This window comes from Homo sapiens, chromosome 6 (assembly GCF_000001405.40).
Source record: "Homo sapiens chromosome 6, GRCh38.p14 Primary Assembly".
Lineage (NCBI taxonomy): Eukaryota > Metazoa > Chordata > Mammalia > Primates > Hominidae > Homo > Homo sapiens.
In genome coordinates, this window is record NC_000006.12 from 18445963 (window position 1) to 18473780 (window position 27818).

The 27818-nt window shown below is 40.1% G+C and overlaps 1 protein-coding gene across 2 annotated transcripts in view; it reads left to right on the top strand.

Annotated features, from left to right (window-relative positions):
- Nucleotides 1–22908, top strand: part of RNF144B (ring finger protein 144B) — an 81521-nt gene extending 58613 nt beyond the window's left edge. For both annotated transcript variants that reach the window (NM_182757.4, XM_047418594.1), the window contains 4 exons: nucleotides 11193–11397; nucleotides 13645–13789; nucleotides 17329–17418; nucleotides 18965–22908. In NM_182757.4, coding sequence (NP_877434.2) covers nucleotides 11193–11397; nucleotides 13645–13789; nucleotides 17329–17418; nucleotides 18965–19105 — 581 coding nt within the window. In that variant the 3' untranslated portion in view covers nucleotides 19106–22908. The remainder of the gene's footprint in view (nucleotides 1–11192; nucleotides 11398–13644; nucleotides 13790–17328; nucleotides 17419–18964) is intronic.
- Nucleotides 22909–27818: the final 4910 nt, after the last annotated feature.

The following is a 27818-nucleotide window of genomic DNA, read 5'->3' on the forward strand; positions in this document are numbered from 1 at the left end:
TATCCTGTGACTCCTGTGGGCACTCCACTTTGTCTCAAATTCCTTATAGGTCATTAGTGTGAGAAGAGAATGAGAAGAACAGCTCTTCATGTGATAGCAATCTGACTTCCAGCTGGTGTCTACCAGTTTGTTCCTTTTAGCTTGGGTTCTGTGTAGTCCTGTTAGATGCCAGGGCTGCTGATGTCTGATGACTCTCTGCATTTTTTCTATTTCTACTAAACCTGGCCTCTAGGCCATGTGTATAATCTGTTACATGAGGTATATAAGACAAAACTATTCTCTTAATGGGATACTGGAATTATAATACATTTCCTTAAAAAACCCAGCTCTTTTACCTTCCATTGGCTTTTCCTTGTATCTGCTCTTCTAGGAGCTGAGCTGAAGGGCATTGTGAAGTGTAGGTGCCATGCTGTGCTCAGATATCTTTTCAGTGGAATCTGGCCAGATTTCTATGTCTGGATCCCTGTTTCTCCGGGGGAAGCACTTTTACAGAAGTGCCCTTTTGCAAATATCTCTCTGGGTTGTTATTGCTGTTCTCTGGAAACACCTGAATGTAGGGCTGAACAAAATAGAACTTGGCTACATATGCTACCATTATCTTTTTTACTATGGGAAATTGATGTACTGATGCTATGTCTTATATTTCTGTTATGTCACTCCATTTAGTTACACAAATGCAACATTCTAGGCATCTTGCTGGGTCAGTGATTGTCAGAGAAGGGTGAATGGATCTTCCAGGGATATTTGGTGATGTCCAAAGACATTTTTGATCGTCACGACTTGGGTAGGAAGCTACTGGCAGCTAGTGGGTAGACGCCAGGGATGCTGCTCAACATCTAATGCATCATTCATTAAAGTTTTATTGGTTCTATTTTAGGGTGTGTGTGTGTGTGTGTGTGTGTGTGTGTGTGTCTGTGTGTGTGTTGTGTGTTTGTTGGCTCAACAAATATGTCAGGACATCTCCATGACGGTAAATTATCCAATCCAAATGTCAATAGTGCTGCTGTTGAGAAATCCTTTCCCAGCTGATGGGGAATACAGTGATCATCAGGACAAAATCCCTGCCCTAAAGGATCCTGTGTATGTGCATGTGTGTATGTGGGAGGTTAGATAATAAATAAATAATATTAGATGGTGGGGGTATATCCTTTTATATAAATAAGGGTAAGGGGAAAGAGATAGATGGGGGAGGCTATTTTGGATAGGATTTTTGTGGAAGACCTCTTTGATGAGGTTATATCTGAAAAAGGACTTGATTTGATGTGAGCAAGCCATATGGATACTTACGGGAAGAACATCATTTCAGGCAGAGGTAAAGGTACCTACAAAGCCCCTGAGGCAAGAACAAGCCTGGTTTCTGTTTGAGAAACAGCAAGGAGGCCCTTATGATGGAGCTAAGTGAGCAGAGGGGAGAGTTATAGGAGGTAATTTGAAAGTGTTAGTCAAGGGCCTGATCCCATAGATTATGAAGATGAAGTCTTAGTGGGATGAGAAGCCATTGGAGGGTTTGGATCAGGGGAATGTCGTGAAATGATTTCCATTTTAGAAGATTACTGTCGCTGCTGCAGAAGAGTGGATGGTAATGGAATGACATGGCAGCAGGGAGATTTATTAGGAGGCTGTGGTAGTGATCCAGTCCAAAACAGTACAGTAGATTATATGTTAAAAGCAGAAGCATTGAAAATGCCCAGATTTGGAGTCTGTTTTCAAGGTGGAACTGTCAGGATTTCCTGGTAGAGATACATCTGGATTATATGAGTCAGGATCAGTAGTATAAACTTTGGAATCGTCAGCATAGAGGTCAGGTTTAAAGCTGTGACACTGAATGAGCGCATCTAAGAATTAAACATAGCTAAAGAAGCAGTTTCAGGACTGAGCCCTGGGACACTATAGGTTTTAGAAGAGGTGGATCTGGCAAAGGAGATTGACAAAGGATGGCCAGAAATATGAATCCAGAAGGTGGGTGAAGACAGTGTTTAAGGAGGAGAGTGTCCACTGGGTCCGAAGCTACTGACAGATGAGGAGAGATATGGTCTGAGAGTTGATAACAGAGGTCTTTGGTGATCTTGACAAGTGGGTTTTAGTGGAATGACAGAGAAGTGCCAGCTTGGAGAGGGTTCAGGGTACTATGAGAAGAAAAATGGGTGCAGTGAATATATTAACTCTTTCAAGGAGTGTTTTTTGTTTTGTTTTGTTTTGTTTTTTCTTGAAAGGAACTTATGATCCAGCAGAAAGGGATGATACAGGAGAGGGAGGGGGGAGGTAATTGCAGAAGCCAAATCCTTGAGAGTGTGAGGGGAACGGATTTCAGTGCCAGATGGAGGGATTGGATTTACTTGGGGGTAGGTTTAGGTCATCTCTATCAGGAAAGAAGGTGGAGAGGTTACGGACATGGATGCAGGCAGCCTAGTAGATTGGTCTGCATGGGTTCTCTTCTAGTTGCTTGCTTCCTAGGTGCAATAAGAAGGAGGGTCAGCAGCTGAGAGTGAGAAGAGAAAAGGGGTAATGCAGATTTGAAGCAAAAGGAGGAGCTTTATGTAATATGAAAGTATAGCGAACCTAGCAATATTGAACGTGAAGTTTACAAGATACCTCCCAGGTTGCATCCATTCATAAATCATCCAGCAGATATTTATAGAGCACCAACTTTGTGTAAGTCACTGTTTTTCAAAGTATAGAACTGTGACCCAGAATAATAAATCCATTTTATTTTGAAAGCCAGCATGCACACACACACACACACACACACACACACCCCACCCCCAAGATAGAACCAGCAAAAGTTTCATGAAACTAATGTGAGATGCACCCTACTTTCTTTTCTAATCTGTTTCATTTTTATGCTGGTCACAACCTATTAAACTGATACCTCAATCCCCATTGTTTGAAAAGCATCATGATAAAGAATATAGATTTGTTTGTCCCTTTCAAAGAGTTTAAAGTCACACATTAAGGTTGAGGATTGGGGGAAATTTCACTAATTCTTGTGTAGAACCTGCTTCATGTCAGGCACTGTGTTAAGTGTCTCGTTTACAGTGTCTATTCAATCTTGAACATCTCTATTTTATAGGGAAGAAAGAAGTCTTGTGTTAGATGGTTTCTATAGTGAGTAGAACCACACTTTCTCCTATGATAACCCTAGCTGGGTTCAGTGAAAACTAAAGACTACTTCCATTCTGGGTTTTTCTGCTTTTGTAAAATTCACCTACTTTATTACATGTGAGAATCTCATTTACATCTGTATTATTTGGATAAAATGTGGAAATCTTTCAGATCAAAACTATCTGTAGATTGGTTGCTTATTCATAGTTCTAACCTATAGGTTTAAGTGCAATTTTTAAAAATGTGCAGCTGTCAGTAACTCTCAAAAGCAAGGCTTAGAATTGGCTCAGTGTGATCTGGTTCTCACAAACGTAATCATCTCAAAGGCTTTATCTCTAGCAATTTTTTTCTTTAAAAATTATAAAGGTTTTAACATTTTTATTTCACAAAAATCAATAATACATAGACAAGAGATAAATCTAAGAAATATACAAAAGTAAAGAATTAAAATCCCTTTATCTAAAGATCAGTTGAAGTTTGCTTTACCCTTAATATTTTTAGCTCTATTCATTTGTATTGCATGTATATTTACTAAAAACAAAGAGCTTATCTTATGTGTTAATCTATTTAATGAATTTTTAAAAATTGACAGATAAAATTGTATGTATTTACTGTCTACAACGTGTTTTGAAGTATATATATATATATACATTGTGGATATAACTAAAATTAACATATGCGTTATCTATCTTATGTAGTCATTGTTTTTGTGGTGAAAACATTTTACATCTACTTTCTTAGCATTTTTCAAGAATGTAATATATTAAGTATAGTCACAATGTTGTACAATAATCTCTAGCAATTCTAAGTTAGTAGTTACCCAGTTGAAAGAGCAATAAATGTACTTTGAGCTCAGAGGTGCCTACTGTGAATCAAAAATAGAGAAAGTAGATGGAAAAACAAATTGTATAAGTATTCTTTGTGCTTTCAGACAGAGTTACCAATTTCCCTTTTCTTATCCAAAAATGCCATTTATGAATTTCTATAAATGATCTGTGTGTAGCTGTTTGACTGTAAGGGATAAGTCAGCTGTCACTGTTCCAGTTTTGGTTTCTCCTCTTTTTGTGCTGTGCAAATTCTGCACTTTCCCAGACTTGTCTGTGCTGGATGCAGGTTTTATATTAATGTATTGATATGTTTACTTCCAATTCATTACTTTCATGGCCTGTGTTTAATGAGGTGTTGGTAAACAGTCTTTGGCGGGATGAGGGGAACAACTCTGATTTGTAGTGCTTGCCAGTTTTTTTTTTTTAGATGGAGTCTTGCTCTGTCACCCAGGCTGGAGTGCAGTGGCAATATTTCAGCTTACTGCGATCTCCGCCTCCCGGGTTCAAGTGATTCTCCTGCCTCAGCCTCCCGAGTAGCTGGGATTACACGTGTGTGCCACCAGGCCTGGCTAATTTTGTATTTTTTAGTAGAGAAGGTGTTTTCACTATGTTGGCCAGGCTGGTCTCGAACTCCTGACCTCAGGTGATCCACCCACCTCGGCCTCCCAAAGTGCTAGGATTACAGTTGTGAGCCACCACACCCAGCTGAGTTTCTAAGGTGTAAATATTAATACTTCCACCATGGCTAATTTTAAGCTACCAAGGTAATGTCACTGAACTTGGAGTTGGAAAGAGACACAATTGGTTCTCATGAGCTGGCAAGATCCCACTTCGGGATGTGAATGCCCTTGTTCAGTGTTTTCTTTAAGGACAGAATCTTAATTCTAATATCCAGAAAAAGTCTGTTCTCTCTTCTACAGCTTCTAAATGCTGCCTGCAAAGTTGCTACCTCAGGGATTTTTTAAAAAAGATCTGTTGATATGGTGCTTTATCTCTTTGTAATCTAATGTCATTGTGTTTTGTCTCAGCATGTGTTTCCTGCTTTGTTTTATGATTAGGAGGGACTAGTTTTACCCCCCTGTTTTTAGAGTTGATTAAAGGGGAAACTACATTTGGATATTTGGATAAAAAAATCATAACAAACTTTCCATATATAACTATTAAATATTTCTTACCTCTACCCCAAGAGATCCTCATCAATATTTGTTGATAATTTCATTTTTGTTATCTCATGGGATGCACTGTCATTTATTTGCATTGCTTGGTTTCCCTTTTCTTTTTTTGACATTGTATTCATTTTAAACATCTATTTCCTTTTCATACTGTGAAGCTTCTGAGGAGGAAAGCCTCTATTTTTCATCTCCATGTGCCCAGGGTCTCTAACAAGTACCTGAAACCAGTCATTTGTTGAATAAACAATGAATAATAGACATGTGTCTAATTTTCAGTCTTATTGTCATAAGAGGTCATATCTGGAGAAGTTATTTGGAATAATCCAAATTTAATTGAAGTCGAGGCTTACTTACGATATGAGTTCCGTAAATAAGTATGAAAGAAACCTAGAAGTAAGACCTGGATACCATCCATGGATGGGAGAAAGAAAGCAGTATTGATGATAAAGGAGAAGGGACCATGAGAAGAAAAGAGAGGGCAGGGCCTGACACATAGAAGACAGAGTGACGAGAAGTGTCCAGGGTCAGAGATGGATTTGGAAACATTTGCTGAATGTGACTATAGAGGGATGTCACTTGTAATTTTTACAGAGCAGTTTATTAATGTGTTTAGAGCAAAAGTTCATTTCAGATACTTAAGAAGGATTTGAGTGGATAGGAATGAGAACCAGTGAATGTGAATTGCTCATCCAAAACTAAGCTGAGATAGGAAGTAAAATAAAAGTTATGTATAGAGAATAGAATTCTAAAAGGGATAGTTATTTGTTTTAATGTTAAAATTTGTTTTTCATTGTTGCCCTTGTAAGTGATACTTCATAAAGGAGGTTTAATGTTTAAGTGCTATATGGAAAGTTCCAAGTCTTGCCAAATCGATGACTTTCGAAATTTGAGAGCCCTAATTGAGGTGGGTGGAGAGCTATGGTCTAATAGAAATCATAACATACTTTCAACACCAGGACTGATATTGGATGATTTTAATATGCTGTGCACATCTGTTGATGAGAGTACTAGAAGTGAATTGGAAAATTCCAATACAAGGCAATTCAAGATGGTATTATTAGTATGTGCATTATAAGTCAATTGTTGGCATAGAAATACATCTATATGCTTTTGAAAAACCCAGAAATTACTGCTCTGAATCAATAGGTGGGCATCCCCTCACTGTTTCAGGTAAGTTGGAGCACACAAACAGAATGAGAAACAGCCTTGCCTACCGTCAGAGAGGCCATCTCCATGAAATGAATAGACAGCAGCAATTAACAAGATGCCGATTCTGTGCTCCTTCCCCCAAATTAAGGCATGTGCACAATAGAAGGTAGTTCACTTAAGAATGGATAGGTTATGACTTGAAGAAGAAAGGGAATTTTTAGGGGAGAGGAAAAGCATAGGATGAGAATTGTGTATATGGAGAAGAATATGAAACAAAGGGGAAATTTGAATGTGTTTCAGTATTATAAAAAAGTAAATGATTTTTCTAGGGGACAGCTTAGTTCCAGAATTGCTTTATCTGTTTGTACATATGCAGATCAAAGTAGCTTTTTAAAACCAATTTTAAAAAATTATAAAAGTAGTACTTGACCTTTTTTAAAAAAAAATTTCAAGTTTAGAGATGAAGTAAATCTTTGCCTCCTCTCCTAGCCCCTGCCTTTACTCAAGAGTAACTGTTATGTTTTTTTAATATTCTTCTGCAAATGTTAAAGTATATTTCTATATATACATATTTTTATTTTATTTATTTTGAGACAGTGTTTCTCTCTGTTACCTAGGCTGGAGTGCAGTGGCATGATCTCAGCTCACTGTACCTTCTGCCTCCTGGGCTCAAGCAATCCTCCCACCTCAGCCTCTCAAGTAGCTGGGACTATAAGTGTGCACCACCATGGCTGGCTACTTTTTTGTTGTTGTTGTGGAGATGAGATTTCACCACTGTTGGCCAGGCTGGTCTTGAATTCCTGGGCTAATGTGATAGGCCAGCCTTGGCCCCTCAGAGTGCTGGGATTACAGGAGTGAGCCACTGTGCCTGGCCTATATATACATGTTTTTATAAAAATGTTTCATTTATACTCTTTCTGTCTGCTTTTTTTTTTTTTTTTTTTGAGATGGAGTCGCACTCTGTTGCCCAGGCTGGAGTACAGTGGCACGATCTTGGTTCACTGCAACCTCCGCCTCCCAGGTTCAAATGATTCTCCTGCCTCAGCCTCCCTAGTAGCTGGGATCACAGGCGCCCACCACCACATCTGGCTAATTTTTGTATTTTTAGTAGAGATGGGGTTTCACCATGTTGGCCAGGCTGATCTCGAACTCCTGCCTCAGGTGATCCACCCGCCTCAGCCTCCCAAAGTGCTGGGACTACAGGCATGAGCTACTGCACCCAGCCTGCTTTTTTTTTGTTTGTTTTTTTCTTACACTTAACATTATATCTTAGAGGTCTTTCCAAATTGTTATATTGATTTATTTTTTTTAAAAAAGCTATGTGGCGTTCAACTGTATGAATGTATATTATTTGCTCACCTACATAGAAACCTTATAGACATGGCATAGCATGTTAACTTTTTACAAAGGTGTATCAATTTTTATTGTACACAATGTTTTCTACAGGATACTGTATGTGGATGCATTTTTAAATTTCTACTTACATACACATTTCCATGTGCCTCACATTTAGAATGATAAAATCATTGGTTTGGAAAAGACTTTAAAAGTCATCTTGGACATGATGCTTTAATCTCGTTGATAAAATATCTACCACACAGGAGGAACAGTCCTTGTTTGAACTGGGTACTTGCTTGCTATTACCAGAAATAGCCACATCAGCTAAGATGCTTTCAGCTGCAAGGAACAGAATGCCTGCCTAAAAGTGACTTTAACAGCAAGGGCATTTCAGTACCTCACTCACAAGTCCAGAGGTAGGCTGTCATGGGTTTTGGTTAATTTATTAGGTTGGTAAAATTGCTGTTTTTGCCATGTTTTTAATGAAAACACAAATTATTTTTTACCAACCTAATAGCATCTCTGAATCATTTAGCTTTCCCTCATAGCTGCAAGATTGTTTTGATGATCCAAGCATCATAACCTCACACAGTTGGGTTCAAAGGCAGAAAAACAGAAAGGCCTTTCTTTCCTATGTATCAAGGTGGAGATCCAGTCCCAGAAGCCCCTTAGTGGACCTGCCTTTGCCTCTCATTGGCTAGAATCATGTCACATGTCCAAGACTTAGTTTCATGGAATTGTGGGAAAGAATATCTCTAGAATATTCAGATTTTATAGTGATAGGTCTTCATAAGGAAGGTTCAAGGGGGTTGGGAGAGATGTTGAATAGACGCTCTACAGAGTTGGCTAGAGTAGTCAATTTCCTTTTTGGATAGAGTCAAAATCTGTCTCTTAGTTACTCCACTAATGCTCTTAGTTAAGCTCTGTAAGCCATTCCTAAGGAATAAGGACTTCTAATGAAGGAAATGTGTAGAAAGCTGTAAAGTTTTCCTCCTTTTTCTTTTTCTACACTCCTTTGCATGGACCTTTATGTGCTGTCATAATAGTGAAAAATACGGAAGTTCAGTGTTTTCTCTGGCTCAAACTCTTTCCTTGCTTTCAACGGACTGTGCCATAGCTGCACTGCGCCATAGCTGCACTGCTTACTAAGGTCCTTTCTTTATAGTAATTCATCAAAACCTATAATTTCTCCTTTATTTATTTGTCTGTGCTTCCCTTTTGTCACCCCAGATACCTGAAATAATAAGCTGGTAGAAACAAGTCGGAACTTCTACCAAGTAGTTTTAATTGATTAGAGCTATGAGAACAAATTGCATCCTTGTATCTTTTTAAGGTGATCACTAGGGATGCTATAAATTTTAACAGTAATATGTGTTTTAAGTTTCCTTTTCCCTTATTTTTCCTTCTTTTTCATCAAACTTTTAAAAGATCTCTGATTTAGAAGGGAAGCGAAGTAGATATTTGATATGGGAGTCTTTCACTCTAAGTTACATACTAACCTTCATTTCTTTGGGCTTAGTATTTGTGAAGCGGTTGTAATAGATTGGAAGAAAATATTAAATGGTGTAGAAATAAAAGACCAAGGCCTTGGATCCTATGTGTGCCACTGTTTCCTTGACTTCTTAAGGTTTTAGTGATCTTGGAGGGTCCATCTCTGTTGGGGTCTGAGCATCTGTGAATTATAGAATTTCCTCCTTGTGATTGCATTTGTGTGAAGGGTTCACTGTTCTTTGACCCCCACCCTCCAGAATTCCTAGATAAGACCATATATTTAAGGATGCAATTTTTGAATGAAAACTTATAACAAGATAGATCCAATTATTTCATTTCTAGGCGAGACATTAGTGGAGACAGTATTTTATTGGAACATTTCAGACTTTCTCCTTGATATTGAATGTGTAAAATTATTAACTGTAAAAACTAAATTCCTACTTAATACCTTTATTTTCTTTTTGCACCATCCTTTGGATTTGTTTGCCTCCTGTGTGTACATTTCTAGGAATCATGAGCCCTAGGACGTTTAAAACTAGAATGTTGTCAATTCAAATTTTGCAAAATACCTGAGTTCAGAGAAAAAAGGGGTACTCTACCCCTCAAATAACATCATTTTTTACATGGTATGTTCCCTTAAAGGTCATAGTATATGGAAAGAACATGGGGTCTGCTACTGAATAAAAAAGAGATACCAAGCAAGATTTGCAAACACTTAAATAGATGGCTGTCAGTTCTCCAACTCTATCTTCTTTCCTGTATGTCATATGGAACTAGCCAATGTGTTATGACTAGCTATTATAATGGTCTGTGAAAGTCTCTCTGCCTTTTGTTTCTAGAACATGTGGGGGTTTTTTTTGTTTGTTTTTTGTTTTTGTTTTTTTTGTTTTGTTTTTTTTGAGACGGAGTCTTGCTCTGTTGCCCAGGCTGGAGTGCAGTGGTGCGATCTCAGCTCACTGCAACCTCTGCCTCCCGGGTTCACGCCATTCTCCTGCCTCAGCCTGCCAAGTAGCTGGGACTACAGGCACCCGCCACCATGCCCGGCTAATTTTTTGTATTTTTAGTAGAGATGGTGTTTCACCCTGTTAGCCAGGATGGTCTTGATCTCCTAACCTTGTGATCCGCCTACCTCAGCCTCCCAAAGTGCTGGGATTACAGGCGTGAGCCACAGTGCCCGGCCCACATGTGGGTCTTTCACACATTGTCCCTAAGTTGCACATTGGTAGGGAGCAGAATATCCAAACTGACAGGTAATCCAACTTCTTGGCTAAGCCACACCAGATACTGTTTAATCCCTAAACTATTTGATTATTTTCTTCCTTGTTCTTTAATTTCCTGGGAATGTGGAAGAAACCTCACTATCTGTTTCTCAGTGCCTGAAAGGACAAAGTCTTTTTGGAAAAATATCTTATTAAAAATTTGCTTTTTATGTCCAATTCTCTTCCAAGATAGTGCCCAAATAATTGTAGAAGGGATTTGAGATTTTTGCCTATTTTACGTGCTCAAAGGTGGGAAATATTCTAAAAGTCTTGTGAATTTTGTTTACAGAGAACACTTTTTATCTGTTCATAAAGGCAATGGTAAGCTATTCTGTTAGTACCTACTTTGAGAAATGTGGCAGGGCTTAGCGACCTTGTAAATGATAGGTTTGGATCCATTATGAAGACTAATAGTAGAAATCCTCACCCTTGTTGTATTATACTTCCATAAATGTCAGTTTAAAAAAGAGGGTAAATGGGGCAGGTGTGGTGGCTCATGCCTGTAAAATCCCAGCACTTTGGGAGGCCAAGGTAGGCAGATCACCTGGGGTCAGGAATTCGAGATCAGCCTGGCCAACAAGGTGAAACCTGTCTCTACTAAAAATACAAAAATGAGCCAGGCGTGATGGTGCGCACCTGTAGTCCCAGCTACTCGGGAGGCTGAGGCAGAAGAATCGGTTGAACCCAGGAGGGGAGGTTGCAGTGAGCTGAAATCATGCCACTGTACTCCAGCCTGGGCGACAGAGTGAGACTCTGGTTCCAAATAAATTAAATAAATAAGAGGGCAAATGAAGGTGAGAAAGACTCAAACATGAATCGGGCAGACCATCACATTTTCTTTCTTTACACTTTAGAAGTTCATCTGGACCCCTACCGAACATGGTGTCCTGTTGCAGACTGTCAGACAGTGTGCCCTGTTGCCTCGAGTGACCCAGGACAGCCTGTGCTGGTGGAATGCCCTTCTTGCCACCTGAAATTCTGCTCGTGTTGCAAGGATGCTTGGCATGCAGAGGTCTCCTGTAGAGACAGTCAGCCTATTGTCCTGCCAACAGAGCACCGGTAAGAAAGGAAACTTTGTCTTTGGGATTATTCACTAGTTTTCTTAGAAATTCAACATACCTTACGTGTAGAAGGAGTTACGTTGTGATGGCGTTTAGAGATTGGTTATTTTCCTGCAGAACTTCCCTGAGAAGTGTCTCAGAATTGGTAAGTTGCCAACAAAAAAGCATTTCTAGTTGTTTGCCCCAGAGGAATCTTCCAGATATTGCTGGAATTAAAGTTTGTATGAGTTTTGCTTTCTCTTTAGGTAGTGAGGCACCGTGGTCTACTGGTTCTCAGTAGGAAATCATGACTTGTTCCCGCTCTTTGCTCAGATACAGTATCTGCCTGTATTGGTATATATCATTCTTGTTGCTTGCAAAATGAGAAAAGAAATTTTCTTACCTGACTAAATTGCCAGCTCATGATGTGTGACAGTCATATTAGAAAGAACACAACAATAGAAACAACGGTCCTAAATTCTTTCAGCACGTAGAAAGGAGGGTTCTCTCATGATATTTTATGCTCTGTAAAGGTTGAGATTTTATCGTGATAGGAAGCAATTAAATCTGTACCTTTTTAGTACAGCGGGTTTTTTTTTGTTTTGTTTTGTTTTTGAGACAGAGTCTTGCTCTGTTGCCTAGACTGGAGTTCAGTGGCACGATCTCGGCTCACTGCAACCACTGCCTCCTGGGTTCAAGCGATTCTCCTGCCTCAGCCTCCCGATTAGCTGGGATTGCAGGCACTTGCCACCACGCCTGGCTAATTTTTCTATTTTTAGTAGAGATGGGGTTTCACCATATTGGCCAGGCTGGTCTTGAAATCCTGACCTCAAGTGATCCACCCGCCTAGGCCTCCCAAAGTGCTAGGATTACAGACATAAGCCACCACACTTGGGCGATACAGAGGGTTTTTATGGCAACAGCAGTGCCCAGAGTGAGAGACCTCTGTGTTTCATTCCTGCTTTGCTTGAGGCTATCGTTGTTCTGCATCAGCAAGAACAAAATACGAGTGTTGTAATCCCATTGGCTTAATCACACAGTGCACCCAGAATGTGTAGAACCAGGCTTCATGAATAGTAATGCTACTTGGCTACGATGCTGTGCTTGAATCTCAGAACAAACAAATGGAGAGGAATAGAGAAGCTAATACACATGGCAGGCATGTGCCCTCTTAGCCGGATTCAAACCACTGTTGCCTACATTTTCGTGGCCATAGCAGGAAGCTCCGTGGGTATCACAGGGCAACGTAAAGAACTCAGAGGATAGGAGGATTTGCATTCTGACATTGTCACTCGGTATCTGTGTGTCTCATAGAAGCCACTCAGCCTCTGTGAGTCTGTTTCCCTATCTGAAAATAAGGGAATTAAGATACAAGTTGAGCATCCCTTATCCAAAATACTTGGGATAAGAAGTGTTTCAGATCTCAGTGTTTTCAGATTTTGAAATATTTTCATGATATGTTTATTGGTTAAGCATCCTTACTCTGAATACCAGGAGTCAGAAAGGCTTCAATGAGCATTTCCTTTGTCATGTTGGCACTCAAAAAGTTTCAGATTTTGGAGCATTTTGGATTTCAAATTGTGGACTAGGGATGCTCAACCTGTAATAACTGTCTTATGACAATATGAGGTTATTGTTCATACGAAGTCTGATAATAGATTTGACAACACTCTGTGAGTTGGATATCTCTGTGTGCTGGGTGGTGGTTTTGATGGGCAGTAGCTAAAGTGTTACATGGTGCTATCGCTCACTCCAATTCCTGTTGCTTATTTTCTGTGCCCCTTGGGGCTGTGAGCCTGTATTGGTCTATTCGTCTGTTTGGAGAAGGTCTTTTGAAAGTATTTGACATTATTTTAAAGTGTTTATATTTGAGAACCCCTTCTCCATTTGTCTAATGAACAGACCATTAGATAGATTATATACGCCCAGTTTGGACCCTGACCTAGTTTCTCTGCTGTGTAGCCAACTCCTTGCCATTCTTATTTAGGCAATGCATGCTTAGGGAATGAAATATTAATTTGACAAAATAGTGAGTTAAATCAGTGGTGGAAACTGTAATTATATAATTCACTGAAAGCCAAAATAAATAAAGATTCCTTCTTGTATGAGTTATCTGTACATCTAATAATGTTTTTGCCCACACCCTTTCTTTTGGAAGTGAATTAAGCATGGATAACTGTGAGTTCATTATCTAACCATCAGGAGCCCTGGGAATTCAACTGATGACCATCAGCTGAATGCCATTTCTCATCCATTTTGTTTCTAGAGCCCTCTTTGGGACAGATGCAGAAGCCCCCATTAAGCAGTGCCCAGTTTGCCGGGTTTATATCGAACGCAATGAAGGCTGCGCTCAGATGATGTGCAAAAACTGCAAGCATACATTTTGCTGGTACTGCCTCCAGAACTTGGATGTAAGTTCCACCTAGGTTTGTTGTATGGTGTTTCCTATACTGTATCTGCACCACAGCTGATATCCTACAGATTTTCCTTTAAAATATTGGGGCAATTTTTGTCCTGCAAAAGGAATTTATTTTTCTTAATGAGACTTACTAAGCCTGATACTTTAGATATCTAAAAACATCTTTTTGATGACCTTACATATGCCACCCTGGTGTTAAAGGCAAGCTTTTGTTTTCAGGGCATTTCTTGCTATTTGCACATTGTCTCTATTATGTAAAGGACTATTAGTGTCTTCATTTTATATTGCTGTTGTAACGAATTAGCACATACTTAGTGGCTTAAAATACCACAAACTTATTATCCCACAGTTCTTCACTTTGGAAGTCTGACATAGGTCTTGCTGGATTAAAATCAAGGTGTCAGCCGGGCTGCATTTCTTTCTGGAGGCTTTAGGGGAGAATCTGTTTTCTTGCCTTGGAGGCTGTCCGCTTTCCTTGGCTTGTGGCCTCTTCCTCCATCTTCAAAGCCAGCAACATCAGATCTCTCACTCCCTTCTTTCTTAGTCGTTGCTCCCTCTGACCACAGCTGGGAAAGGTTCTCTGCCTGAAGGACCAATGTGATGAGATTGGGCCCATCAGGATAATGTAGGATAATCTCCTTTATCTCAAGGTTCTTAATTTAATCACACTTGCAGAATCCCTCTTGTCATATAGGGTAACACATTCACAGATTCTGGGAATTAGGCCATGATATCTTTGGGAGGTAGTTATTCTGCCTACCACTATTAGATTTTTTCTTCGTTTTGAATTTAAAGAAAAATGGTTCAAATCAATGGTGTCTCCTAACTCTCTTCTCTCCCTCATGCTCTCTTGCATGCTCTCACTCGCTCTCTCTCTCTCTTGTTCATGAGCATGCAGCAGTATCGCTACTGTTTTGACAGTGTTCCCTTCCCAGATCAAGGGGCTTGGCTTAATTTTTTCTCACCATTCATGAATCAAGTCTCAAATTGAGGTGCAGTTTTATTCAGCCCTGTGCCAAGGCTAATGGTAACTTCAGAGTTAAAAATGCGATGCAAAGAGTTGGTGAGAAGGTCTTACTTCACTTCTGGTCTTTTAAAGTTTGGGGTAACATAAGTTGTTTATAGATAACACTCTGTTTTGGCAATTTGGACCTCTAAAATATGTCCATATCAGCGTAAGCCCTCAGTTACCATTGAGTTGCTATTCTTTTCTCAGCTCTTTGTTTTGATTGCTTGATTTGCTTTAATTCAACAAGCGATTTGTGTAGTGCTTTAGTTCAGACATGCTTAGTGAGTGAGTGTGCAGTTAGCATGTAATGTCATCAAGCAGGCCACCACCTGCTTGATGTTTAATGGAAAACTAGATATGTTGTTTAAGATGACATGTATGAATAAGAATAATAACCTCCATCTTAGTGATTTAAGAAGAGGTATAAACTGAGGAGAAGAAAATGGACATTTTAGACTCTAGAAGTTCAGCAGCTCAGTTTGGAAGAAATATCTTCTATTTAAAAATTGATTTATCATAGGCCCTTGAGTTACAATTATGTTTGATATTTAAGACCTAGCATGCATCTAAGTGAGTGATATTCTGGATGAGGATTTTACTGATTGTACATTACACATGCATTACAAATGAAAAACAATTTTTTTTTGTTTTCCTTCAGGTTTCACCAGAATATTAATTGGGTTCATATCCACAAGGAGGCTGAGCCCATGAGGTTCTCTTTAGGAGGCCAGAGTGTAAGGGAACAAATATGTGCACCAGATCTCCATCCTTTGGTTGAAATGTGTTTGGGGGATGGTGTTGCAAAGGACATGCTGTTCTGTCTCTTGTGCTGCTCTGGTTCTGGAGATGAAATGGTGCAGATGTTAAATGGCTGAATACACAGACTTCAAATATTGAAGCATCTTTTTTTCTGGTGACTGTTTTCTAAGATCTCATTTTCAGTTTTAGCCAGGGGCATTGGATTGTTGGTAATGATGTTTTTCTCTACGCAAGTGGAGTTCTACATCAGATGGTGGTGTGGATCTCTGTTTATAGGAAAGTTTGAGATCATGGGGCCAGGAGAGGGGTGATTGTCTAAAATCCAGGCCTGAGACGGACACCAAACAGGAATTTTGAGTGTTGTTGGAGTTGAGCTTGTTCCTGCCTTGATTCTCACCCCTGTAGTTTCAGAGGATGAGTTACGCTTAATTGTCTGCTTTAGAATCCTATTCCTGTCCATAGCCTTAGAGACTTGAGCTGTTCAGTTATCTCTTTCCTCTCCTGTGGTTTCAATTTCCACTCTCCACTCTCTCAACATATCCATGCATTCGGCTGTGTCACATTTAAACACGAGTAAACATTTTTCTTAAAGCCTACTTCTTTTCCTTACTACCCCTCTATTTATCTTTCCTTTAGAAGCCAAGCTTCAAAAAAGCCTAATCACCTCTTGCTACTGACATTACTTACCTTCCAAATACTGCAATGTGTTCGGATTGCCACGTAGTCACACCCCGACTGTACCTCTTTCCCAGATTTTGAGTGATTTCTTATTGGCAGAATCCAATAGTACTTGTTTTTAGCATACCTAGATTCTCTGCTGCATTTAACATCTTGACCACTTCCATTTCAGTGATACCACCTCTGTTGGTTTCTCTTCTACCTTTCTGGTCATATCCCAGTTCCCTTTTTAGCCTCTTCCTCGATCCAGTCTTAAATGCCTGTGTTCAGCAGCCTCTTTGCTTCTCAGTTTACCCCTCTTCCTAGTTAATCTCAGTCTCTTCTATGGTTTCTTCTACCCCATGTACACCGATGCCCAGTTGAGTCCCCTTTCTCCATTTGTCTAATGAACAGACCATTAGATAGATTATCTACACTTAATTTGGACCCTGAGCTAGTTTCTCTGCTGAGGTCCAAGTTTTTTTTTTTTTCAGTGTAGATCTTTGTGATGAACTGCCTTTTGAACAGCCCTGCTTGGATGTCTCAACCATCTCTCAAGTTCAACGTGTCCAAACTTATCTTCCCAACAAACTCCATCTCTATGTTGTCACTTCTCTCAATAAAGCGACTGCCTTCTTTTAACCCAATCACTTTCCCTTCTCTGTGATTGCTTCTCCTTGTTTCTCTCCAGTTACTTTCTTAATATCTGAGGACTGTAACTTCCTCTTCTCCATCCATCCTCAGTCACTGGCATTTTCTCTCTCCTGGTTTGCCACACCAGCCTTTCAGCTGCCTTGCTCCTGGTCTTCCCATTCCATTGTACCTCCGCCAGAGCTACCTTGCTAAGATAAGTAGTCAGGTCATTACTACTCTTTTTTTTTCTTTTTAAAAATAATTAATTGAGATTCGTATTGATTATGATCTGCTTTCACTTTGGTGATTTACAAAACTACCAAGATAAAGATTACAGGCTTGGAATTCCTAGAGGGGGTCACTGATATCACCAGAGAAAAACTTTGCCTTCCATTTGGTGATCTGATGTGGTCTGTATTCATTTCTCAATTTAAAACTGCATATTTACTGAAATCAATCTTTTTATTTTTCAGAATGACATTTTCCTCAGACATTATGACAAAGGGCCATGCAGGAATAAACTTGGCCACTCAAGAGCATCAGTGATGTGGAACCGAACACAGGTACCCTGACCTTATAGGGAGCGTGACATAAACCAAAATCGTGATGGCTTAAAGAGCCCACCTCTTCGCCTTTCCTCATTATTCCCTCCTGGGAGGTACCATCCCAGCCTGGGAGCTTCTGGGGAGTGTTAGGGCAGGGCTAGGGAAAAGTAATGGGGTAAATACCTAAAGTTAATTCATGAGCACAGTCTCCTTAAGGACAAGCGGAGAAACAGGGGCACCAGAGCTGCCAGGCAGTCAACAGTGACGTGCAGAATGCAGGCAGATGTTCTTTCCTCTTGAGAAACAGTGGAATGACTTTCCTAAAGCCCTTTAAGGCATATTACCTATCAAAGGCAGTGTATTAGTCTGTTCTCACACTGCTAATGAAGACATACCTGAGACTAGGTTAGTTATTAAGGAAAGGGGTTTAATGGACTGACAATTCCACATGGCTGGGGAGGCCTCACAATCATGGCAGAAGGCAAAGGAGGAGCAAAGTCATGTCTTAAATGGTGGCAGGCAAGAGAGCTTGTGCAGGGGAACTCCCATTTATAAAACCATCAGATCTCATGAAACTTATTTACTACCACAAGAACGGTATGGGGGAAACCACCCCCATGATTCAATTATCTCCACCTGGCCCTGTCCTTGACACGTGGGGATTATTACAATTCAAGATGAGATTTGGGTGGGGACACAGCCAAACCATATCAGGCAGTGCTCTAAAACCCTGTGAGCCCCTTCTAGGGCTTAGATCCCTGTGTACATGCCATTGTGTGTTTATGTGGCAGGTTCAAAAGGAGTCATGGTTTATTTTTAATTTTTAATAGTGTTTTATATTTATTAAAGGCGGTATTCCTTTGGAGGGAGTCAGTGCTAATATCCTAGTAATCATTAACATCCCTTTGAGCTAGTTGAGGAAATTCAAGTAGAGAGAGAGCACCAATACCAATAATTCATGACTATACTGAGCTTGCGACAGCTTGAGTTAGCATTTGGATGGTTTCCATCCTTGATTTGGTCCTTTGTATCTCTCTGGCTTCTCTCCAATTCAGATCATTGCTGGGCACTAGCTGAAAGGTCCCAGAAATGTAACTGTTCTGTGTGCCTGAGATGATGTCTTGTTCAGGCTGCTATAACAAATGACCATAGACTGGGAGGCTTAAAGAACAGAAATTTACTTCTCATAGTTCTGGAGGCTGAGAAGTCTGAGGTTCAGGTGACAGCATGGTCATATCTTAGCAAGGGCTCTCTTCCTGGTTTGAAGATGGCCATTTTTTTGCTGTGTCTTCACATGGCATAGAGCCTAGAGAAAGAAAGCAAGCTCTCTGGCATCTGTTCTTGTAAGAGCACCAATCCCATCATGAGGGCCCTGCCCTCATAAACCAACTAACTTCTAAAGGCCTCGTCTCCAAATACCGTCACATCGGGGATTTAGGGTTTCAACATATGAGCTTCAGGGGGACACAAACATTTGGCCCACAGCAGATAACAGTATAGTTGGAATAAGTATACATATTGAAAGACTTAATTGCTGAAATATGCTTTTCTTTGAAATTTCCAGGTGGTGGGGATTCTCGTAGGCTTGGGCATCATTGCCTTGGTTACTTCACCCTTGTTACTCCTGGCCTCCCCATGTATAATCTGTTGTGTCTGCAAGTCCTGTCGGGGCAAGAAGAAAAAGCACGACCCATCCACAACCTAAAGATCTCTGTGTTCATACGCCCCAGATATGTGAGTTACATGAGATGGCACAGTGATAAAGCCCCATTTAGTGACCTTGCCTCCTTCTCCTTGCCAACTTTGAAAGTGCCTCCGTGTCCAGACTTTGAACTTGCCTGCCAGCCTTCAGCATCAGGAAAGGCCAAGTCCTGGGTGTGAGTGTTCCTGTGTAACAAGAACTGGGCTCAACGGTCCAGCTGTTTCTATGGAGCTTTGGGGTTCCTTGAGATGAATGAACATATCATTTTATCATCCAAAGGATCTCACTGGACTGTTCAACTTCCAGCCAAATTCAAGGAGCTTGCGGGAACATTTGATATAACAAATGTGTTGTCATTGTTGGCAACATACAAGATAACCAAGAAGCTGGAGTCTGTTCTGTGTTGATTTGACTGCCATGAGAAACACAGGGGAAACCTGATGAGGAGAAGGATAAGACTGCGTAAGGAGAAATCCTCATAGGAGCTATAAAGCAGGCTGCTGATCTCAGCAGTTGATATGGTGGTTGTGCCTCTGCTGGCTACTGGGTGTGCTGTCCCCATGTTCCCGCTGTGATTTGGCAGAAACACAATAGGCTTCTCCTTGTGTGATCTCAGCTTCAAGCAGGTGAAACTGCTGTGCAGAGGGAGTTGCCCCTTCCCAGTAAAAGAGTTGCAGCCTGTTAAACAATGTGGTCTAATTTAGTGTCTCTCCCTTGGCAAATGTAAGTTTTCTAAGTTGGCCAACTTGTCTCTTACAGCCAGTGGCTGTGGTCTACAGAATTGTTTCATATAAAATACGGGTAGAGTGGTAGAGTTTCAAAACTTTCGTCATAGATATCTGGGACCTTTCTCAGGATCTGTGTTCACACAGCCAATAGATTTGGAATCAGGCCTAAGAGTACACATGGAGGGTAAATATTAAAGTGCGTATTATGTACATCTAGAATCCATGTGACTTGCAGCCTACCTGTAATTTCTATCCATTGAGCATGCATGGATATACCCAATAGTACACACAAAATAAATGTTTACTTAAGAGCCATTCTATCCTTTTGTGACTGAAATGGTTTATTGTAAATCTGCCTAAAGATTTTTTGCATATTATATATGTGAATTTTGGTTGTAAGTTCATAACTTACCCAAGGGTATAGACTCATAACTCTTTTAAAACAGTGCTTAGTACAATATCCTGCCATCTCTGTAAAAACGCTAATTGATAACCGAGTCATTTACATGTTTTCGAACACAGAATAGCTCTTTTCTCAGCATCATTATTGCTCTTTCAGCATCTGTTAGGACAGTCTGAATACTTTCTGTTTCAAGGCACTGATAAAACCGCAACAAAAACATGTAAGAAATAAAATAGAAATGCTTTATATAATTTAGTTTAAATTTATGTATCACCTCATTGTGACTTATTTTTTCCATTATACCATTAGTCAGATTTGAATAACGAGGTTTTGAAAGGATAAAACCTTTTCTCCAATGACAGGATTATATAATTGCTATTGGCAATGTAGCCTGGTGCTTCATGAGACCTATGCTAAATGTTACTGGAGAGTTCTTGAAGCCAGGGATACCATATCAGGAACTATTCAGGATCTATGATATTTTCTGAGGTAACTGGGTAATAGAATATCAAATTGCTGCTATCTCGGACCTATTGTTAAAGGATGATGCTTTGCCTATGTAATAGGATATATCCTAAGTGGGGATGTGTATATTTCAGGAACTTTAATTCACAAGTATATATTGATATCTGATGTGTGTATAGTACATCTGTTGGTTATGTACATTTTAATTTACATGTTGTGTAGAACATAGATGAGAACTCTGGGAAAACTTGGGAATGGCAACCAACCAAAATCATTTTTAATCATTTATTAGAAATTTCTCAATATTGTGTCTTTTTCTTTTGAAACTCTAAACACTTCAGAAAAAAACACTATCAGTGTAGTTCATGTTAGTATAATTATAGATTTACATATATTTGAATAGTTAATTTGCTTTGTTTTACACGTAGCCCACTGCCTCATTATAGGTAAAAGGCATTTATAACTGCTCAGGGGATTACGAGAACTCAACTGAAACTGAATTTTTGTAACAAGAATGTTAATAGTGGCAAAGTCCTCTGTCAGTAAACTCTTTAAGCTTGGTGCTGCAAAGAGTCTTTAAATGGGGGCTGATTTCAAGTAACCTAAAAGACTGTGTTATCAGAGGAAGAGGTCCCAAATTTGGAGTAAAGATGGGAGAAAATAAATATGTGCTATTTCCTTGGCGAGTTGAGGGAATTTGCCACCTTACAGAGTTTGTATCACTGAATTAGCTGCTTTTGTTTTTTTTTTTTTTTTTTTGCCAGGGCTATGGAGTGGGGGTTGTTTGTCAAACTGATTTTCAATAATTGGATTTAATTTTTTTTAACATTGAAAAGTGCCTGAAAAATGGTAAATTCTTAAATGTGTGTGAGATTGTCAGAATCAACAAAACTAGGTTGGTTAAACATATCTCTGGTACATCAAGGGGCATGATACAAACCAGTCTAAAGACTGTTTATAAAGGAGAGAGCTGGCGACTTATTTTTATTTTTATTTTTTGGACAGAGTCTCCCTTTGTCACCCAGGCCGGAGTGCAGTGGCATGATCATGGTTCACTTCAACCCCTACCTCCTGGGCTCAAGTGTTCCTCTCACCTTATCCTCCTGAGCAGCTGGGACTACAGGCACACACCACCACACCTGGCTAAGTTTTGTATTTTTTGTAGAGATGGGGTTTCTCTGTGTTGCCCAGTCTTGTCTCAAACTCCTGGGCTCAAGCGATCCACCCACCTTGGGCTCCCAAAGTGTTGGGATTACAGGTGTGTGTCACTGTGCCTGACAGCTGACAGTTTTAACTGACAACTTTGATAACAGAGGCTGCTATTTTTGTTTTAGATAATTGGCCAGTGACAGAGTTTACCCTTGCCTCCTTTCTTGGTCTGCCAGCTTTGTCCTTTCTGAGTGATTCTCTTTCTGTATTGAGAGGAAGTGTGGGTCTACATAGGGATGTTTGGATGCTATGGCAAGAATCTTTTTGTGTTTGGAGTGTAGTCCATTTGCAATAGAAATAAAAAAATCCGTCACCAAATTGTAACCTGGATGTTATAGCCCAGCATCTAGAAATCCTATGAAACGTATTAGCACAATATCTTGCCATTGTCCCATCTAGGAAATTTTTTCTTGTTGTGAGGTAGGGAAGTGAGGAGGAAAGCCATGCCGAAGCAAATGTTAGAATCTTAGGCATCCTATTTGTTCATGCCATGGGTATTTGCTTTGGACTTGGAGTCTGTACTTTGAAAGAGGCCTTTGAAAAACAAATAATTCTGTGTGAATTTTCTTGTAGCGTGCTTCATGAAAATATCTACTTATCCAGGTTTGCAAATGTACATGTTCATTTGAATGTAAATCACCATTTCTTGGAACCCCACGTTTTTTCTTAAAAATTATTCTGAATTAAATGTATATTTCTTTAGCCTTCCCTACACAGTACTAATAAAAGACTTTTCTTTCTGTTCATGAATGGATGCCTTTATGTGATATAGAGTCATGTGTGTATGTGTAGCTTTAAGGGCAATTTCAGAAATGCATTAGATGAATGACATTTTATAAAGCGATCACAATTGATATCTACAGGCTATTATGTCTCATGTTGATTCATGATCCAGGAAGTTTTATGTATTTAAAAAATTGCTATCGTGTTATATTTTTCCAATTTTTGGAGAAGAAAATAGCTGTTTAGGCTCTCTAGCCACAATAAATGTAAGCAGGAAATCAAGTGTGTTAACCTTTGTTGCGCTGCACAATTCTAGGCATGTTCAGTTTTATCCTTTGAGAACCAACCAAGTTACTGTTAAATCCTAGGTTCTGAATTTACAAAATGTACCAGAATTTGCAATACCATCTATGGAAATAACTCTTGGCTACTTTACTTCTTAAAAGAAATAGGGTCAGGGGGTCAGGTGTGGTAGCTCACGCCTATAATCCCAGCACTTTGGGAGGCCAAGGTGGGCGGATCACCTGAAGTCGGGAGTTCGAGACCAGCCTGGCCAACATGGTGAAACCCCGTCTCTACTAAAAACACAAAAAATTAGAACCCTGTCTCTACTAAAAATACAAAAAAAAAAAATTAGCTGGACATGATGGCACATGCCTGTAGTCCCAGCTACTTGGGACGCTGAGGCAGGAGAATTGCTTGAACCTGGAGGTGGAGGTTGCGGTGAGCCAAGATTGTGCCATTGCACTCCAGCCTGGGCAGCAAGAGCGAAACTCGGTCTCAAAAAAAAAAAAAAGGGGGTGGGGGGGTGGCAAGTGTAATGCCTTTGTTACACACTTTCTTCTTTGTAGGTGTGATAGTCCACACTGCCAGTGCATAGGAACTCATCATTATCCAGAGCAATAACCAATAATACAGATCTTTGATCATTCTAATAAAAAATGCTGCCAAGTGTCAAAGCCATTTGTTCTGTACAATAAAGGTTGGACTAAACGCTAAGGTCAGTTCTAACCTTCCAAAAGTCTGCTAGAGGCATGTGTTTCCTTGTTATGATTTTTTAAGAAAGGATTTAAGAGTGTTAAGGTCATTTCCATTTGAATTAGTATTCGAGGCAGGTCTTAAGTTGGGTGCCAAAGATTACTTAACAACTAGAGCTTGTGTTTCCATAAAACCGAAAGCTCACTCTCCTGTACTGGTGTTGAAACCTTTTTATTGAAGGCTGGATGCTTCTAAAATGGTACCTGCATACAAAGGTTTACAACTGATGTACAATTCAAATTTCATTTTCTAATCATTCAGTTTTGAGGAAATCAATAAGATCATTTAAAAATACTTTTGGGTTATGGTTTCTTAATTTTCTTAATCATCTCCTAGAATGTCAACATTATTTCATTTTGAAAGTGTGCTTATTGTTTGCTAACCTTGAATTTGCATTCCCAAAGAAATATTGAATGAACCATTTTATATAGCAGTGATTTTAATCAGTGCCCTAACCAGCAAACTCATTGCAATTTAAGTTATGAATCTGATGATTTGGAGGAGAATAATAATTAGGTTTTTCTGTAATTCAATTATTTTCATTTGTTAGATAATAAATCTAGTTTTCTTTAGACCCTAAAGATAATGCCCAACACTATGAGAAAAAGGAAACGAATCTGCTTAAATGCGTTAATAGCAATTATAATGTTTTATTTGTATATTTTTACGTAAACTAAAGAACTTTTGAGAACAATCCTTTGAGATAAATGGAGCAGATTAGATCCATTTTATGAAGAAAGCAATGTTTTGTATTCATGTCTTGCTTAGGTTCATACTGATGAGTGACAGCCAGGAAAAGAATGCACTACGACTTGAAAGTTCTATAATGCTCTTTCATTAGTAATTTCGAGTCTTTCACTCCCAAATCTGTGAGTCCTAAGAGAACATAGTACCCTCTCATTTATCTGCATCAGTGGAGATGTATGTAAGAACATATTTCAAATCATCACTTAGAGGCTGTGTTTTGGTGGGTACCCCTGAGATCCCCTCACCTCACTCCTTGAAGTTTGGCTAGAGAAGGACAGTTGATGGAAGGTAACTAGAAAAATAACAAGGCGGTCTGCATCTGACTTGCTAGTATTGGAAGCAGAATTATAGCTGAATCTATATACTTACCCCAAATGCCCAAGTGCTTGCCTCTCCCCTACAAAGTACATTCTCACAAGTTCCTTTTGATATTTACAATCAAGATTCAAAGGGACTGTTGACTCAGATCTAACTCCTTTCTTATTAACACTGCCAACTTGTACTCAAATGTGTATTTGTAGCCTACCATTAAATCAATTGGCAGTTTCCAAAGCTAGAAAGGGGACTCCAAGTAATGAACTTAATTTCTCATACATAAAGAAGTCCTTTCAATTCCATTTTCTGCCTTTATGATTTTCGATTTTTATCAGTGCTATATTTGCCCTCAGTTTTGCTTTTTTTTAGCTGTTAAATCAGGAATTCGGGCTTTCGATGAGAAGGAAATTAAGTTGAGTGTTGGTCGTTTTATCTTGTAGTTCCTTAAGGACCTGACATGATTCAAGAAGATATATTTCCTTTTGTGGGGAGTGGAGGGGTGGTTAACATCAATAGTACTGAACACATTCAGATAAAATGAACATGAAGGTATTTTTGAGGTAAGTTATGGGACTTCTGATTATTGATCAGCCTCGACTTATGTTTTGAAGACAAGCCAATTCATTTTAAAACAAGTTCAGAAATCCACATACCACCCTGTGTGGTGTGTCCTGAATTCCAGCCTGGCCCTGGGACTTTGGCACCACAAGGGCATGTGAACAGGGTGCTGGGAGAGGGCTGGCAAACGTGGTGCCACCCTGGCCACAGAACAAGTGTGCAGCGTCCTCTGTCCTCCCGGCCCTCTGCCAATCCAGGTGGTGTGGGGTTGGAGGCAGACGCCCAGCTGGCAATAAGATGGCTTCAGTTCTAGGCCTGGCTGTGCTCTTGACTGGTGGTATGGTCTGGGGCCAGCCCTTTATTGTATAGCGTCATTTCATCCCTATCTCAGGTCAGGCTTAGGTGGATCGAGTAAAATCCCGAATGTCAAAGTGCTTCTAAGTGTTGGTTGTTAGGGAGGTGTGAGGAGAGCGAGCCACTGAGTTAGGTGTGCTTGCAGCTGTTAAGTGTAGTTGATCAGTTTTTTGTTTGTTTGTTTTGAGACAGTCTCGCTCTGTTGCCCAGGCGGGAGTGCAGTGGTGCTATCTCTGCTCACTGCAAACTCCGCCTCCTGGGTTCAAGCAATTCTCCTGCATCGTCATCCTGAGTAGCTGGGACTACAGGCGTGTGCCACCACGCCCAGCTAATTTTTGTATTTTTAGTAGAGACAGAGTTTCACCATGTTGGCCAGGCTGGTCTTGAACTGCTGGCCCCAAGTGATTCATCTGCCTCGGCCTCCCAAAATGCTGAAATATTACAGGCATGAGCCACTGCGCCTGGCCGAGTCAATCAGTTTTTAGCCAGGCATTGTTCTGAGAGGAGAAGAGGGGGCAAACTTGGGGCAGGAGGAGGGTAGTCCTGAAATACATTTCAAGCTTGTCTGTGTTGAGAGAAGTATGACCCCCTCCGTAAATGTATTTTCTTTTTAGGTTTAAAAAAAAAATCCTATGTCATTGTTTAACAAATATTTCACAAAATAGTTAAATCTAAGTATATGCTTCATTAAAATGAGGGGAATATGTGGAAAGAAATGCAGAATTTATATCAACACATTGATTTTGGGGGGAAGGTTTATGGTAAGAACTTAGTGTTTAAATAATGCCTTATAGTATGCAGTTTCCTTTTGCTCTTCATACTACTCTAGAAAGTAGATATTACTCTTCACACCCCCCCACCCCCAATGTACAGATGGGAGATGAGACTCAGGGGTTAGAAGACATGGTGCAGGTCGTACAGCAGGTGAGTGGCAAAGCTAGAACTTGAACCCACATCTTGCATGAACTAACTCGGGACCTGTTTGCATTATTTTAATTTTTAAAAGCATCTAAAAACAACACATTTATTACTTCAGTTTCTGTAGATCAGAGGTCTGACGTGATGTTGCTGGGTTCTCTGCTCGAAGTTTCACTGGGCTAAAAATCAAGGTGTTGGCCAGGTGTGGGGGCTCATGCCTGTAATCCCAGCACTTTGGGAGGCCGAGGTTAGCGGATCACGAGGTCAAGAGATTGAGACCATACTGGCCAACATGGTGAAACCCTGTCTCTACTAAAAATACAAAAATTAGCCGGGCGTGGTGGTGGGCACCTGCAGTCCAACTACTCAAGAGGCTGAGGCAGGAGAATCGCTTGAACCCAGGAGGTGGAGGTTGCAGTGAGCTGAGATTGTGCCACTGCACTCCAGCCTGGCCACAAAGTGAGACTCTGTCTCAAAAAAAAAAAAAAAAAATCAAAGTGTTGGATGGGGCTGTGTTCTCCTCTGGAGGGAGGCTCAGAGTCCTATTCCAGGCTCTCTGGGTGTTGTCAGAATTCAGTTCCTTCTCACACCTTCCACGTGGCCCCCTCCATCTTCAAGCTTGCAACAGCTCATTGAGTCTTTCTCATACTTCAGACCTCTTTGGCTTCCTCTTCTGACACATCTCTGGCTTCCATTTTACATTTTAATGGCTACGAGAGTATGTATATTTGTCATTTTCAAAAGGAAATTTAGCTTTTTAAAATCTGTTCTGTTTCCCAGCCCCATGAAGGCAAAGAGTTTTCACAGGTAATAGAATCTGCTTGAAGACATCACAAACTTGGGGAAGAGTTAGCAAAATCTAACTTCTACCTGGGAACTGTTGACTTACCGTTGGAATTGGGTCTAGTATAGCCAAGGAGATCAGCAATTCTGCTTCTGGCTAGTGTCCTTGGGAGGTCCATTTGGTCTATATGTGGGACAGATTTTCTTAAATGGACTCAGAAGAAAACCTGATCTGAGCTTTCTAAACAAACCTTCAGAAGATTCAGGATTGGATTGAATCTTGTTTTGGATTCAGGAAGGACAACTCTTTTAAGAGCTGGCTTAAAGTACAGGATGGTGTTTCCATTCAAGTCAGACCAGTAAAGCAGATGGATCTGAGTTAACCAGTCACTGCCTGTTGTTGAGGGACGTGCAACAAAAGTCAAGGTCATTGCCTCTTCCCCTCTCCCACCCCCAGTGCAGCAATACAGACCCG